The sequence below is a fragment of the Homo sapiens genome, chromosome X (genome assembly GCF_000001405.40).
Source record: "Homo sapiens chromosome X, GRCh38.p14 Primary Assembly".
NCBI lineage: Eukaryota > Metazoa > Chordata > Mammalia > Primates > Hominidae > Homo > Homo sapiens.
The window spans coordinates 109458106-109474918 of record NC_000023.11 but is presented as its reverse complement, the minus strand read 5'-3'; the positions used below and the strand labels follow the sequence as shown (position 1 = coordinate 109474918).

The 16813-nt window shown below is 39.0% G+C and overlaps 1 protein-coding gene across 1 annotated transcript in view, besides 2 other annotated features; it reads left to right on the top strand.

The window, feature by feature from the left end:
* The window catches only part of GUCY2F (guanylate cyclase 2F, retinal), a 109181-nt gene that overhangs the window by 7168 nt on the left and 85200 nt on the right, over positions 1 to 16813 (top strand). Inside the window, exon 3 of the mRNA NM_001522.3 lies at positions 9476 to 9777. Coding sequence (NP_001513.2) covers positions 9476 to 9777 — 302 coding nt within the window. The remainder of the gene's footprint in view (positions 1 to 9475; positions 9778 to 16813) is intronic.
* Positions 1725 to 2019: an enhancer, noted in NCBI's record as "tiled region #8383; HepG2 Activating non-DNase unmatched - State 24:Quies, and K562 Activating non-DNase unmatched - State 24:Quies". NCBI's record gives its function as "activates a minimal TATA promoter and a strong SV40 promoter by Sharpr-MPRA in HepG2 and K562 cells {active_cell/tissue: HepG2 | K562}" and the evidence as "EXISTENCE:reporter gene assay evidence [ECO:0000049][PMID:27701403]".
* Positions 2323 to 2824: an enhancer, noted in NCBI's record as "H3K27ac hESC enhancer chrX:108715324-108715825 (GRCh37/hg19 assembly coordinates)". NCBI's record gives its function as "activates a minimal SCP1, AML or CMV promoter by ChIP-STARR-seq in naive H9 embryonic stem cells {active_cell/tissue: H9 hESC(naive)}" and the evidence as "EXISTENCE:reporter gene assay evidence [ECO:0000049][PMID:30033119]".

Here is a 16813-nt window from a genome sequence, read left to right as displayed (position 1 = left end):
ATCCTTTCTTTCTGCCCTTAGGACCTTGGTAGCTTCGAAAGTGCCAAAATGGTATGGGGAGGCGCGGGTCTTCTTATGGCTTCATTTTTGTTTGTTCTAGTCACTGAGGAGAGATTTACTTTTGACTCCCTTCTGGATACTTTCCTTCAACGGTACCCAGTGTCCTTGTGGGACACTTACTTAGAATCTGTCTTCTGTGGACTCCGAAATGTCCATACCTTCTGCCTTTTCTCAAAGCAGGGCTTTTCTTTTTGCAGCACACAGTTAGTTGATATGGGGGGCACCTAGCTGATGAATGAAAGCATATTAAAATGAAAAGACTGTCTAAATTTTAAGTTTCCCCTTCCAATGGAAGCTTAATGTTCAAAGACGATTCTTGCAGAGACGATAGACAAAATGTGAAGCAAAGGACTTGACCCACTAAAGCTATCATTCTCAAAGTTAGTTGGGTGCATTTTGGCAAAAGGGGGCCCTTTCTGGTCCTCTTGAATCAGATCTCTTTTACTCACACTTATGGCAAGCCCTTGTGACACCTAGTTTTGATTTTTTCTATTCCAATTTTTTAACCTCCATTTTACCTTCCTCTGGAGATGGCTATGATTCATGGGAACGCTGCTCATTCCCCCACTGCAGCCACTCCACCACTTTAGGATGGATATCTCAGAAACTATTTGACAAACTGATTCCTTCAAGGATTAGTCCTGGTCCCAGTCATTTCCTTAACCATTGTTAAGGAAATGTTTGTTAGAGAATGGTCCAGCTTAGGCCTGGCCTATAATCAGAAGCCTGTTTTAAGTTTCAAGTGGCTTCAGTATTGGACCTTAATTATGATGATCACAAGAGGATGAGGGCAAGAGGAGTTTTTAGTTCCAGAACTACAGTAATCTGCCTCCAGCTCCAGTTGACAAGATTCCGTGATGTTTAGCAATCAGTATGGCTCTGATTACTTCATAATAGAGCTTGATACTTTCAAAGCAGAGCATAGAATTATTTTGAAAGACATAAAATCATTTGCAGGAGGAGCCATGCCAGAAACAGGCTAATATATTTAGTATCATAACTTTATAATAGGTTACAAATCTTCTTGAAGCCCAATGTCTCCTGCAAGTTTATATTCCATGAATGTTTCACATCCCACCCATTTGTATACTTTGAAATGACATTTTGGCCTCTACCATAAAATGTTAAATAAATCCAGGCCCTGAAGCTCTTTGGGCTGCCAGACTGAGAAGAATTAGGATTGAGTGCTAACCACCCACAACCCCTTTGAGGCAGGGAGGGAGCAAATGCACATATTATTGCCCTACCATTAGAGATTCCTTTACGTCAAGGGTTCTCAGTGTGGCTGCATGCTAGAATTACCTGGACATCTTTTCAAGAATACTGGTGCCACAGCGCCACCTCCAGAAATTCTACTAGAATTGGTCTGTGGTGGGTCCCAGCAAAGGTATTTTAAATAGCTTCCCGGGCGCTTGTAACGTGCAGCCAGAGTTGAGAAATGCTGCTTTCACTTAATAATAATCAAATAAATATTTCTTGCTTTAAGTTCCCATTGTTTTAATATGACTTCGCTTAGTCAGATTGTTTTCTTTATTACAGTACAGATCTGCTCACTAAGGGAATGGAAATTTTGAGGATGCAGAGAAAAAAACCCAGAGAGGATGGTTATGGAGCAAACGAAGACCTTGAATAGCAAGGACAGCAACAGGAAGTGGAGGAGGGATTCAGAAAGAGAGATTAAAGGGAGTGAAGACAAAAGCTCTGCACTGCAGGATTTTCCTTTGTTTTTTGACAAAACATAGGCAGATTCAGATGAGGCATGCTGGGACCTCAGTGACATGAGTCAGAATGTGGGTGGGGTGGGGGCAGGGGAACTGAGCCATTGGTTGGGCTGTGGCCTGAGTACAACCTCAGGCAGCTCACTGTGCTTTGTTCAAAGGAGTGTGTAATACCCATACATGGTACAGGCACATGTCTGTATCTGAGGGCATGCCAACTGGTGGGTGAGGTGTGACAGGGGGAATGGTGGAAGGGGAGTGAGTGTTAAAGTAAGATAGACCTTGCCCTTGTTGTCCACTTGATCATTTGTTGGAAACAATGCCCCAACCCATGGGAACATGTAAAGCAGGATCCAGAGAATGAACAAAAATAGATTATCAGAGCTTTAGCTAAGTGGCCTAAGGGTCAGGCCACATCTTTTGTCCCATTAGAAAATTGGAGATTTGGTGAGAAACCAAGCCAGAAGCCAGTGAGTACAGATTGGGTCAACACATCAGTGAGGAAGACTGCAACACACCATCCGTAGCACATACCGGATCAAATCTTTAGCTAATTTTCCAGCTCCTCTCAACTGCTGGGACTGAGGCTGCTAAGTATTCCTGGATGTTATCTATCTGGACTGAGAAGAACTAAAAAGACAACAAACTTTTTGTGTGATCTCAGCTGAGAAGGTCTGAGGAAGGCAGAGCCTGACTTCTTCCCTACTTGGCTGGATTTGAGGCTACTTTTTAACACTGTGGACCCCCAAGCAAACCTTCAGAGAGGACACTTTGTGACATACAAAATACAGTGGAAAGGGACCCCTTCCTTTGGAGGGGCCTAGAAATATTTGGAAGTAGTAGGAATAATTGGGAGGTTTTTTTTTTTTTTTCCTGATCTGTTCGCAAAAGCAGTGATGGCATTGCCACGTGGCCGTAGCAGTGGTGGTTGTAGTGATGGTGTGGGAGGGGAGAGAAGAGCAGCCTATTACTGGCTGGTATGACACTTCTGGTTCTTATAAGTTAATATTTCCAATTAGGAACTCTCATTGGCAACTTACTGGAGTTAGAGGAAGCGCCTTTCTCAGAAACAGGTCTAATTTGCACTTACATAATATCAATGCAATGATAGATTTAATAGTAGGCAATAATAGCAATAATAATAGCCATGCACTCTTGGGTGGGAAAACAGCAGAGGTGTTACTATATGCTGCCATAGAGACAATAAAAGCAACCATACTATTACTTTACGTGTAAACAGCTCTCTACATTTTACAAGGCATTTGCACATAGATCTCAATTAATTCTCAGGATTATCCAGGAGATAGGCATTTTCTTTCAAGTTTTACAATACCTGTGAGTCTCACAGTAATAAGTACATATGTGTAAGCACTATCAACACTAAAGAAGGAATAAATAAAGTCTCAGAGTAGGGGGATTCAGCCTCTCCCAGATTCTCAACTCAATTCTCTTAAGCCTTGGGAGCAACTATTTCTTTGCTTTGACAAAGTCAAATAGGAGAGTTATTAATCAAAGACAAAGGCCTTAATTTATAGTCAGGGCTGCTGTGTGTGGTTATGTAGGTTGTGCCCTGCACAAGGAAACCTAGCTGATTGGACTTGAGGGCCAAAATCCAGTCCAGTCTCTGCTCCTCAAACCATGAACCCTGTTGGAAGTTTTTGTCCAATGGCACAAAAGGTCATTTACTTACCAAGCAGGGCACCTGTAGGGTTGCATTCATTCAGGAGGGGTTCCTCTTCTAATTCCTGCGAAGGTTAGCAGGAGGCCCTACCTGCAGCTCTTTAGAGAACTTTTCAAATGGCTATTCTAAGCCCTCTCTTCTCCTCGCCTTCTTGCTGATCAGCCCTGTGCTTGGCTGATTGTATAATCCTTTCAATCTGGGCTTACCGGGATGTTGGACCATTTGGGATTTCCTTTCAATCCTTCCAAATTGGGAATGCTTCATTACAACATGATGTTAAGTAAATATGACACCATTGGAATAGCCTTCTCTTGCTCTTCCAAAATTAGGTACCTGATTGCTATCTTATTGCCTGGGACAGAATGGCTTCTTCTCATTTATTGAAGATTCTTGTATATAAGAAAAAGATAGCAATAAAAATAATGGTAATAGTTAATATTTATTGGGAATTTACTATGTGCTAGTAATTTTTCAAGGGCTTTGTATGGACTATGTCATCCAATTATTGCATCACCCCTATTAAGTAAGGGCAATTATTGTTTACCTACTTTATGAATAAGACTTCCGAAGCTAAAAGGGGTTAAATAACTTACCCAATGTCATACAACTGGTGAATGAGAAAGCCAGGATATATATTCGGAGTAGTCTAAAGCAGTGGCTCTCAAATCTCAGTGGGCATCAGAATCCCCTGGAAGACTTATTAAAACACAGATTGTTGGGTTCCTCCTCCTGAGTTTCTGGTTCAGGAATGCTGGTGTGGGGCCCAAGAATTTGTATTTCTAATACTGCACATTCTCAGGTGACACTGCTGCTGCTGGTCCACGGACCACACTGAGAACCACTGGTCTATTGATAGACCAATACTATACTACCTCCTGAAGCATACTCACTTGAGATCCTGTGTTCTATATGTGGCATATAATTCAGCCCTTCCACCTTTCTTTCTTAACTTTTGGACCCATAGATACAATTCTTTTATGTGCCTCAACGTACCAGGTGTCAGCCCTGTTTTCCTATACTGATAACAACAGTGATACTGATAATACTATGACTAGGAGCCTTAGCATCAATAGGGAATTTGGTATAGGATTTGGTATAATGTAACACCAAATGTAAGTAAATATAAATGGCAAGAGGACAACTGGCTTTCATGAATGGCAAATGATCACTAATGATCAAATTATTGAAGGCTTGACACAAGAGGAAATCTCTAAACATCTAGACTTCTTGCATTTAAGAGGCCTTATGTACATAGCAGTTTAGGAAAAACAGGAGGAAACATATGTTTCAAGGTATGGAGAAATATAAAACCTTATCTCAAGCTGGGCAGCAATGTTAAGGCAACATTGCTGTACAAATTGCAATACAAGTTTGAGTGTGGAAAAAAACATGGTCTGATGCAGATGGAATAGTCTTTGAATGTTATATTTGTGTGCCATCATGCTGAGCTACTTGGACCAGTTCAACACCAGTGGTAGTTAAGTAAGTGGTAGCTTCAGGACTTATGGCCAAAAACGTGTGGGGTATCCTTAGCTGATAGAGATAGCCACACATCACCTAGTATAGTGTTCCAAAAGTCTACTTTGAGAGCCTCCTGCACTGAGTCACAGTTGGGGATGGGGCCTGGGAAACATGCACTTTCCAGAGCCTCCCACCTTCCTCTTACACAGCCATTTATTAGGCTGGGTGGGAGAAAACTGAGAGGGAGAGTGTAGGAATGTGCTTCTTTCACAATATGGCCAGATAGGAAAGAATCCTGAGAGAAGATGAGACTTGGGATAAATCTGCATGCTGCCCTCCTCCTCTGGTCTGCCTCCCCTCCCCGCCCTGTTAGCAACTGTTCAAATGAATGACAGTGGCAGGAAATATCACAAAGGGGTTACAATAAAGAGCAAAGACAGTAGAATGGGGGGGTGTCTCTGTGGACTGTGAGCAATATCGATGGCTCACAAATATGAATATGGCTCCTAAGGACTCCTTTAGCAGCAGCAAGTGGAATCATTTCCATCTTGCAAGGTGTGAAACTGGGCCCAGTTTCCTCCATGGAGGACACCATAGCCAGTAATCTGAGAGAAATAAGTGACCTTTGCCTTTTCAGAAACACAGTTACTCTCTCTCAAGAAAATATTTGATATAATATTTTAATTTAGGAAGAGAAATAGGAATTGAGTGACATGGAAATTGGCTTCTCCCGGAGTTTCATGGCATTTCCTGCTGCTAGTGAAAGAAAGGGTCCTAGACAGCCTGCTATGGTTGGTGCCACAATATAAAGACATAGACACTAGACAGCTCAAGTAGCTCAGAGAAAGTGCTGGTGTCATATCCTGGTGAGATGCGATCTCAGAAGGGTGTATTTCCTGGTCCTTGTTTTGACTATAAAGTAGCTTGATAGGATGGAAACTTACAAATTAGTATTATTCAGTGACCACCTGTTGACCCAGGCCTTGTTTAGGATTTAAGGTTTCTGTACACTAATCCTTTCCTGACAACAACTTACAGGTCAAATCCCATTTTAATGAATGTAATTTTAACATAATAAAACTATTTAGTAAAATTATCTTGTAGAACAGATGTATCTACAAATCCCTGTTCACGAAGCACTCAATCTATTAAATTAAGATGCTGTTGTTTGAATTCAGTATTTATGCTTTCTACTTTAATCATGTTCAATGGCAAGATCTTGCCAGGCAAAAAATAGAGGAGCCTGTGATTATTCCCTGTTGAGTTTCCTATTTCTTCTTCTATAAAATGATGGGGACAGGTTGGCCTACTTGGTCTTAAAGGGTCTTTTCAGTTATAAAAATTCGGACCCTTTGAAATATGGTCAGTATGGGTCAATGAAAGAAAAATAAAGAGGAGAGATTTAGGGTTGAGGGTAAGGTACTGGGCATAGTTAATGATAGTAGGCATGAACAACAGGCATGGCAGTATCTACCTGCCCAGCAAATATCACTTCCAATTGTTCCTCCATCCTAACAATCAATATATGCCCATATCTCATATCTCAAGGAACCCACAAAAAATACCCAAGTGTACAAGCTCTCTTCCTGAAGAGGCTGTTAGTTTACAAACATTCATCTAAACAACATTCATTGTGTGCATAATATGTACAAGGATATGGAAATAAATAAGACACAGTTCCTGACCTCAAGGAGCTCACAGTTTGGTAGTAGAAGCTGATATAGGTAAATAACAGCAATAAATCTTGTAAGTGCCAGGATAAAAATTATCTCAGGGTAAGGTGGGGGCTCTAATCCAGTGTCACAAGTCAGTTTCCCTGGAAAGCAGCCTGTTAGATGGAGCTTTGAGTGCAGGAAGCTTACTGAATGAGTATTTTCAAGGAGAACACCTGTGAGGAAGAGAAGACAGTAGGATTGGGCAGAGAGAACTGAACTGCAGTGCAGCCACAACAAAGGCCTCAGCCAGTCTTAGAGGGGAGCTCTAGAGCTGGTATGACCCTTCAGAGTTGTCCAGAATTGAGATAAGGAGTCTGGGCTGTTCTACCTCCATGTGGAATTGTCATTAGGTTCAGTCTCACCCACAGAAAGGGGCACAGTGTGTAATAATAATTGTTTAACAGTCAGATCTTCAGATGGAAAAAAGTTTTGATTTGTAGTGTTTGCTGATTTCCATAGTGTAATCACTCCCACAGTGGTCAATTTCAAGCTAATAACATGATGTTAACTGGCTCACAAAATCTCTGAAAGTTGAACCAGCAAAAGCGAACCCCAGCACACTACTGAGAGGATGTAACCTTGAGAGAGGTGCCTTTCCTTAGCTGAGGCCAACTCTCAGAGAAAAGTCACCTATCAGCTACTAACACACCCAGCAGCTGGTGGAATGAGTGCTTCAGTGCTGAAGTGTGTATCTTGATGGCACATCACCATAGCACCTACTACGTGTAATGTATGTTAAAGTATTTGCTGTATTGCAATCAGCACCAAACACTAGTTCTATTTAACATTTTCCATGCAGTAAAGTCATTTTAATATTCCTTTAAGTAAATTAAATCAAATTGTATCACTGTTGAGTAACCTTGAACAAATCACTCAATCTCTGATTTGCAGAAGAAAGATGCTAATACTGATCTACTTGCTGAGGATACTGTTGGACAAACTGGCCAACCGAAGCCTCTGACTAAACTCATTTTCCCCGCCTCAATGGACCTATGACTATACTAATTTGACCAAACTAATTTACTTTTAATGGTTCAGCCAAATGTAGAGAGTGAGAGGTCTTCAGTTCTACTTTCTTTTTCTAAATCCAACTCTTGCATTGTCAAACATCTCTGGCACTCCATTTTCCCATGATACAATGTGTGATTATAAACAAGTGAGGCTGAATTCCTTGTGGGGCTCATGAACTAGCTCCAAAGATATCCTTCGAGAATTCTAAGGAAGGTCTGAACATCAGAATACATGTAGAACCTCTTAGCGTAATTATTTTGAAGGAGTTAATGGTCATTTGAAAACTCATGTCATGTTGTGGTGTGTGCATATGTGTGTGGTATGTTTAAATAAACTTCATAACTTATTAGTTACACTTTAAAAACTAAAAGGTACCAGCTCTAGCTCAAAGGGAAACTTTCTAGGGGTGCTTAGCAAGTGTAAAAAGGTGTTTGAAAATAGATGAAACAATATGCAAATGCCAAAGACAAGTCATTGAATGTAGTTAAGCACCCTTAGTTCTTGAGATTAAAGGTTCCATATAAACATGTATAATTAATATTTACCAGTAGCAATAGAGTCTTTGCCTTTCTTCAAGGAGCTCAGAATGCTTGCCAGGCATTATCTAATTAAACTACTCAGTGTACCTGTAAAATGCATTGGAATCTACATTTTAAAGATGTGGGCACTGAAGCACAAGTGGGCTTAAACTAAACTTATTTAGCATGCCAAGGGTAAAATTGGATATAAGACTTTCAGTCTCATGATCTAGCTGCCATTTTTCAACCGTGGCCCCCTTGAATCCACTCTATTCTAGCATAACCTTGCCAAACAACATAGTTTCATAAGTCTAGGAAGAATTAAATTGAGTCCATAGTAATTTCAATTACAGGGAAGTTAGATTTTAAAAAGTTGGACATCTCACCCATAATATTACACAGAGTACGTCCTTAATCTGAGAATCTGAAATCCGAAATGCTCCAAAATTGAAAACTTTTGAGCACCAACATGACTCTCAAAGGAAATACTCATTAAAGTATTTCAGATTTCAGATTTTTGGATTAGGGATGCTCAACAGGTAAGTATAATGCAAATATTATACTTAATATCCCAAATCTAAAAAAAGTCTGAAGTCTGAAGCACCTCTGGTCTTCAATAGTTTGTATAAGGAGTACTCAACCTGTAGTAACATTTATAGGTGAGTGAGTTAGTGCTTTTCATTGTCTATAATGACCTTGGTAAGGATGAGAACAATTGGTCAAAATGTATTAGAGTGCATGTTTGTAGGAGATGGACAATAAAAAGCAATAGTGGCTGTGGTAACATCTCCCATCCTCTCTTACTATTCTCTCTTCTAATTCTTAGGTATATAGTAGCTACTATTTATTGTGTGCTATGTACTAAGTAAATGACTTGTCTCCTTTCTTCAATCATCACTACCATCCCATAAGTATATATTGTTATCTCCATTTTATGGACGAGACAGAGAGCGGTTAAGTAATTTAAAAAAGGGTACACAGTTAAAACTGGTGGTGTTACGATGTAAAGCTGATTTTTCCAACCCTAAAGCCTCTTTTGTTATGCTACTCCCCATTGATTATACTAGTTCTTGTTCCTGTCTGAGTATTAGGCTCTGCAGCCTGTAGGCATCTCTCTCTTGTCACTATCCCCAATCCAGAGTCCATGAGCATACCTCAGCCTCAGCTCAGGACAACATCTTGCTTATCTTGGAGGCATAAGAAACCACTTACAAATTGGTTAGAACACATTTATTTTTCCTCTCTGTAGTTTTTGGTACTGTGCTTTACTAACAGTTTGCTTCCATAACCTCCTTGCTTTGTTGGTTTCAGTAATCATCATGTGTATGCATTCAGCTTTGATTGGGGGAGAGACTCAGATGCATCTCTTGGAATGTGCTCATGATCTGAAAATGACTGATGGAACCTACGTCTTTGTTCCTTATGATGCCCTGCTCTACAGTTTACCTTATAAGCACACCCCCTACCGGGTCCTAAGGAACAACCCAAAGCTCCGGGAAGCCTATGATGCAGTGTTGACCATTACAGTGGAGTCCCAAGAAAAGACCTTCTATCAAGCCTTCACAGAGGCAGCAGCAAGAGGTGAAATTCCTGAGAAGCTGGAGTTCGATCAAGTAAGTACACATTCATAGGTTGTCATGAGCTGAGAACCTAAAACATCAGCATGGTAAATTATTTTCAGACCAACAGTCTCAATTCCATAGGAGGCCCAGTCAATGGCAGGCAACCACAGACAAATTAAAAACATCTTTAGTTTGCTGAAAACATTTGTGAAACAAAGGCATATTATTTGAGATTTTGTTCTTTTATCTTTAAGCAGCCCACGATGACATTATATAGTCAGGAAGAATAAATGTATTTAAGAACAGATAAACAAAACTTTAATATATACTGGTGCTGTTCAAGGGAGCCTAATAAAAATAAGTCCTGTTTGTGGTGTAAGTTCTGAATTAATTTAACAATAAGGCAAAAGAGCTAGTATATAAGAAACTATTTCCTTTATTTTTGATAACACTGGTATTGGAGGATGCGGCTTCTACCTGTAGGCATTTGAGCTTCCCAATACTGAACCCAAGGATTAAACAAACTTCTCCATCTGGCCAATGGCATTGCTGGACCACTGCAGTCCTGCCCCATGAGGGCAGGTCTTTTTTAAAATGTGTAGTCTGGAGAGGAACAGCAGAGCATTTGCTTCTTTTAGGTAGTCTGCTCCCAAGAGAAAGAAGACAGGAGGGGCTGAGCTACACATACTTACTTCTCCTTCCAAACTAACCAGTCAGATTAATTCATTTTTCCTTTGTGGGGAGGAATGAGTAAGTGGGTGAAGACAGGCCACTTGGAATGGGGAAGAAGTCCTCCCTTCTGATATACAAGAAATAGTATTTATATGTGTGTAGATAAATGTATGTATAGGCATATTTCAGATTCCAATCATAGCCACTGAAGGCTTAGAGAAAGAAAAAGGAGTGAGGAGGGGAAGAAAGTAGAGAAAACAATGGAGAGCAAAGACAAAAACAAAGAGGATGAATACAAAGAAGACGAGGAATATGAGAGGAAGATGGGGAGACAAAAGAAGCCATTTAGATTGGAAAAAATACAGAGGGACGTTTCTGTACACTGGAGGTCAGATGTAGAAAGCAGACATTTTCAAAAGTACTTAGAACAACATACACATAAGTTTAAAAGCTCTGGCATTTGCTAGAATACTGCATTAGTCATATTGCTTCCAGCTGTAAGAAATAGCTCAATACAAAATGGTTTAAGTAATAATTCTTTTTCAAAATTTGAAGATAGGGCTTCAGGGTTGGTTAATTCAGCAGTCAATGATGTCATCAATGAAACATGTTCATCTTTCCACTTTACAAGCCATAGCATGCTAAGCTTGCCCTCATGAGCTGGTTCCTCTTATGGTCCCAAGGTGGCTGCCACAGTTCCAGACATCACATACGGGTGGCAATGTCCAGAGGTGAAAGTAGAGACTGTCTTTCCCTTGTGTCTCTTTTTAAGAGTGAGGAAATCGGCCGGGCATGGTGGCTCACGCCTGTAATCCCAGCACTTTGGGAGGCTGAGGCGGGTGGATCACGAGGTCAGGAGATCGAGACCATCCTGGCTAACACGGTGAAACCCCATCTCTACTAAAACTACAAAAAGTTAGCCGGGCGTGGTGGCGGGCGCCTGTAGTCCCAGCTACTCGGGAGGCTGAGGCAGGAGAATGGCGTGAACCCAGGAGGCAGAGCTTGCAGTGAGCGGAGATGGCGCCACTGCACTCCAGCCTGGGCGACAGAGCAAGACTCCATCTCCAAAAAAAAAAAAAAAAAAAAAGAGTGAGGAAATCTTTCCCAGAATCTCCCCAAGTAGACTTCTTCCCATACCTTGTTTGTCACGATTGTGTCCCATGCCCATGCCTAAACCAATAATCTGGAAGGAGGAATGTGACAACTGTGATTGAAAAGTGTGAACAAAATATATAGCTGCTGGAAAAATGTGAACAAAATTGAGATTCTGTTAGCAAGAAAGAAGACTTAGGTAGGCAGTTGATTGTGTCTGATATTCATATTCTTTTTTATCTGTCCTTTATTTCATCATTCTGTGGGCTGCTTCTCTGTCTGAATAGTGATTCAAATGAAATTTAGGTTTATGTATCTCTTTCTGCTCGGAGGATTTATATCAAATATTTTGCTGATTCTTGTTCTAATAAAAAAATTAATAACAGAGATATTAACAATGCTGGATTTGGACTTTATTGTTACTGATAAGTTTATAATAAGTATTACTGTCTTTTAGGAGACACACACATGCACACACACACACATAACTGAAAACAACTGGTCAGTTTAGTCAAGAATTGCAAAACTCAAATTGCTAAAAATGGTCGGTCAAACCAGTTGTTTGATGTGTTTATAGGCAAGCAACAAGATGGTAACTTTTTGTACTTTTTAGCCAATGATATGGCATCACATAGATACAATTAAAGTCAAATTTCTATTTTAATCAAAGGATCAAAGGAAGGAAGGAGAGGGTGTATGTGTGTGTGTGTGTGCACATGTATGTATGTGTATGTATATTGTTCATATATATGAACAGGTATTTTGATATAAAAACTCAGACCTTCTTCTCTTGATATTTGCATCAATCCTTTTGAGCTTGTGGAAAACATAAGGTAATTAAGGCAAAAAAAAGACGCCATTAGCTTGGTTGCTAGGCAGCCTGCACTCTGCTTTACACAAGGAAATAGAATAGCTACAACAAAGAATCCAGAGCTTATGAAAAAGCCTGTTTGGATGCATTTGTACCCCTCAGTTTGCAGGTGCCCAGTCTGGACCTTCATAACTGAAGAATGATAAAAGGGTGAGATAATTATCTTCATGTCTCTGATAAACAAAACCCCAATTTTCCTTAAATTATCTTGCTCAAAGGTACTTTAGAAGGCAGCCAGTATAGCAGAAACTGCATGTTAAGCTCTCACTTTTACTAGCTGTGTGCCCTTCGGCAAGTTACTTAGACATTTGAGTCTCAGTTTCTCTATGTGTAAAATGGGTAAGTGAGCTATATCTTCTAGGACTACTGTGAAAATTAAACAAAGTAACATGTAAAAAGTGACTGTCAGAGTGCCTGGCTCACAGCTACCTTTCTTTCCACTTTTTCTCCTTTGAGGCTAGGATGACCTTATTGATTGGTGGTGACCTAGCATCTAAGTTACAATCTTTAGCTTCCTACTCTCTTGAAGTTTTCTGATTACTGGCAGAGAGTCTCTCAATATTTCCAGCTTTCAAAATTATAAATGGCATATTCTCAGATCAAATTATGTAGTTTGATATTTGCCTATCCCTGGGCTTCTGTTGTTTGTTCCCTATTTGGTCAACAGGTCAACAACTATTTATTGAGCACCTCTGATGTGCTAGGCAATATGTTGAACCCAAGATAGAACACTATACAAGACAGACAGGGTTTCTAGCAATGGTATGTTAGAGCCAGTCCAGAAAAGTTGATTCTGTGCATCTTTTCCCAGCTCTCCATTCAGTGACATCAATTGGTAGCTTGAAATCAGGCATGATAGTAGTAGTTACACCGCAGAAACAGGCAAATGCTACAAATAAGAGTTTTTTTTCCCTCTCCATATAGCTGTTGTCAAACACTTACTAGCACATCACTCATTGCCACCCTTATAGACCTTAGATTTTAGTGAGAGAGACAGATAATAAATGGTTAAGCAAATGCATTAACAAGATGGCTGTATTTCTCCCTTGCCCAATAACTTTCAATGAAATAGAGATTTCTATGTACAAGGAGCATTGCCTACAGCAGTGGTCTGCAACATCTCTTAATTTGTACCCTTGCTTCTTTAACAAGTAAAAAATGAAATGAACAAAAAGCTATCAAAGCGATACAAACACATAGTTTTAAAAGTCAAGAAATGCTAAAAGGTTTATATCAATAACAAAGCAGTCTATAAGGCCTCCTTTCTTCCCTTCATCAGAAGCAACCACTTTCATATTTTTTTAGCTCTTTATTCTGGTATTTACTTCTATGTTTCTAAATGCTATGCTGCTACTGGTGACTCTCGATTAATCAATTTTGAGCATTATTTGTTGTATTACTATTATAGTTGAGGAGCACTCTTAGTCTTTTTGTACTTCCTTACTCTCCTTTAAACCTTAAATATGGTTATGTCCCAATTTATAGTTAAATCCATATTTAGTATTTTTAACATAGTAACTATGTAAATATCATTTATTGCTAATCCACATGAAATAATATGGTTATAATTCTTGTCACATGTAACTTCATTTTTACCGGGGTTAATAATTACTTCAATTTTTAATTTGTTTACCTTAATTTGAATGTCTAAGTCTTTCCATACTTTCTGATAAGGCTGTAAAATCCTGTCAAAACAATTTTATGCATAGTAAAGCCTATTAAATACCTTATGAATTTCATTTGTTTTTGCTGGGGCTCTCTGTCTTCCTATTCCAATCTAAACATTTTGCTCCCTAAGGCTGCTGCACAGCTATTAATATTATGCTAGTTTTCTATTTTCATAATTCTTAAACGCCTCTTTCTTTCTCTTCTCTGCAGGATCTATGTTTTATGAATCTCATGACCTATATTCTTGGTTTAATCTGTCATTTTTGTGGAGCACATCCTGTAGTAGCTTTTTACAGGAGGTAAATTTTTGAGATTTTGCATGTCCGAAAAGTCATTATTTCATCTTCACTATTGATTGATAGTTTGAATGAGTATACAAATCTAGGGTAGAAATCATTTTCCCTCAGTCCTTTGAAGACATGTCACATTGTCTTCCAATTTCCACTGTTGGTGTTGAGAACACCAATGTCATTCTTATTCCTAATCTTTTGATACAACCTATTTCCATTCCTCTTTGTCCTCTCAGAAACTTTTAAAATGTTCTGTTTATTTCTGATGCTATGAAATTTCATGATGATGTATGAGTCTTTGACACATGATATGCTGTATTGGTGGAGCCTTTCAATCTAGAAGCTGATTCCTTCTGAGAAATTTTCTTCTATTGTTTATTTGATAATTTCTTCAACAACATTGTCTTTCTTCTCTCTGGAAATACTATAAGATATATAAGATATAAGATGTCCTTGGTTGATCTTTTAATTGTCTTATTATTTATCTTATATGGTCCATATTTTTGTTTTTAGTTTTCCTTTCTGGGAGAGTTTCTCATCTTTGTGTTCTAACACTTTTACTAATTCTTAAGAATGATTTAGTTATATTTTTAATTTCCAAGAGTTCATTCTTGTTGTTATCAATATAGTATTTTTCCTATTTTCTTGAGGTACTCATTATAGTTTTTTTGAAGTTTTCTTCTGCTCTCTATTTTATCCGTTTTTTCCTCAGTTCCTAATTTTTCATGTTTTTATTTCATGTTGAAAGTTTTCCTTAGATGTCTGCAGATTTGAAGGTTTATGTGCATGATGGATATGTTGACAAGTGGGCTTCAGTACAGGGCAATTGGCTAAACAGTTGCTTTTTGTTTGCTTCTTTTGGTCAATATCTGTAGGCCTTGGCTCTTGAGCTAGTCTTTTTCTTCAGAGAAGAGTCTTCTAATCTTCTTGGGAGTCATAATCATAGCTGTCAGTATTCCGGAAGCAATGTTGGGAGGAGACTGGGATTCTCACCATTAAGCATGAAAACTTTAACTTCATCACTGTTTTTTTGTGCTCCACCTCATTTCCAACTTCCTTTTCGTCTAGTGCCCCAGCTCTGGAGCTGCTCTGAATCAATTTAATCTGTTTCCTATAGACGTCTGCACCTCCTGGTAGAGGTGGGTATGGGGGATGTCTACATGTTTATTACACAGACATTCAAAGAGCCCTCGCTCTTTTAGTGTTTGGCCTCACCTTCACTTCTACAGTACTTGGTGGTTGTAATTACTCTTTCCAGGATTCTTAAGGGGCAGATCTGCTTGTTGCTTATCAGTAATTCCCTCTGCAAGCACTTAGGTTTGACTGTTCCCCACTTTGCTAAATCAGTTGCCATGTTTGTAGCAACTTTTTATTTTCAGATTCTGTGGTACAGGGTTACAGATGTTTCCTAATACCATTAGATATGGAGATTTAGTGTTTCTGTTCCTTGTTCTCTTTGTTTGAGAGTGATGTTTGAGAGGAGAAAGAGAGTGAAGTAAAAAAAAATCTTGATTTCATTATTTTTAATCAGGAAGTCTATGGAAAGTCATGAAGGAAAAAATAAGTCACAAAAGGGTGCATGTGATATTATTTTACTGGTGAGTTCACCAAAGCCTATTAATTAAGTTAGTAAGTATTTATTAAGCTCAGATTTAATATGAAGGTTAAGATCATGGGTTTTGAAGGCAGACTGCCTTAAGTTTACTTAAGCTCTCCATGTCTTCTTTTCCTCATTTTTAAAATTGAAAATAACAATAGTACCTAACTAATAGGGTTCTTGTGAGGATTAAATGAATTAACACACTAAATAGTTTGCCTGGCACCTGATAACCCCTCAATTAATGTTAGCCATTATTATTATTAAAGTTGTGGTTATTATTATTATTGTGGGTCAGGCACTCTGCAGGGGATATAATAGAGATCAAAATAGAAATGAGATCTTTCCCCCAATGAAGGAGAACAGTTTTTCCATTTCAGGTGCTAAGGAAATTGGATCTAAAATTGGGACTCTAGTACTTCTTGATCACCAGTTCAAAACTAGGACAAGGGACTTGAACATTATACTTCCAGGATAATGTTTCCAGAGCCCTGTGCTCCTCTTCTGAAATACAAATAATAGCAGCTGTTGTATATTCAGTGTTTACTCTGTACCAGGTCGTTTACATAAATGATCCAATGGGATCCTCAGACAACACCTACAAATTAGATATTAATATCTACATTTTGTGGTTGAGGAAACTAAGGCTCAAGGTAACTTGCTCAAGGTCATACAGCTGGGAAGTGGCAGAGCTGGGATTCCAACCCAAGTCTGCTACCAGATCCTGATCATTTAACCACACATTAGGCTTGTTGTGTTTTATTCCACTGTGCTAATAATATCTAATGCCAATGCTTTACTCAGGCAAAGTAACATTGCTAAGTGACTAATACTTTGATTTGAATAGATTTATTGAATTGTTTTCCTGTAATATAGGAGGTACTAGGGCCTTATGAG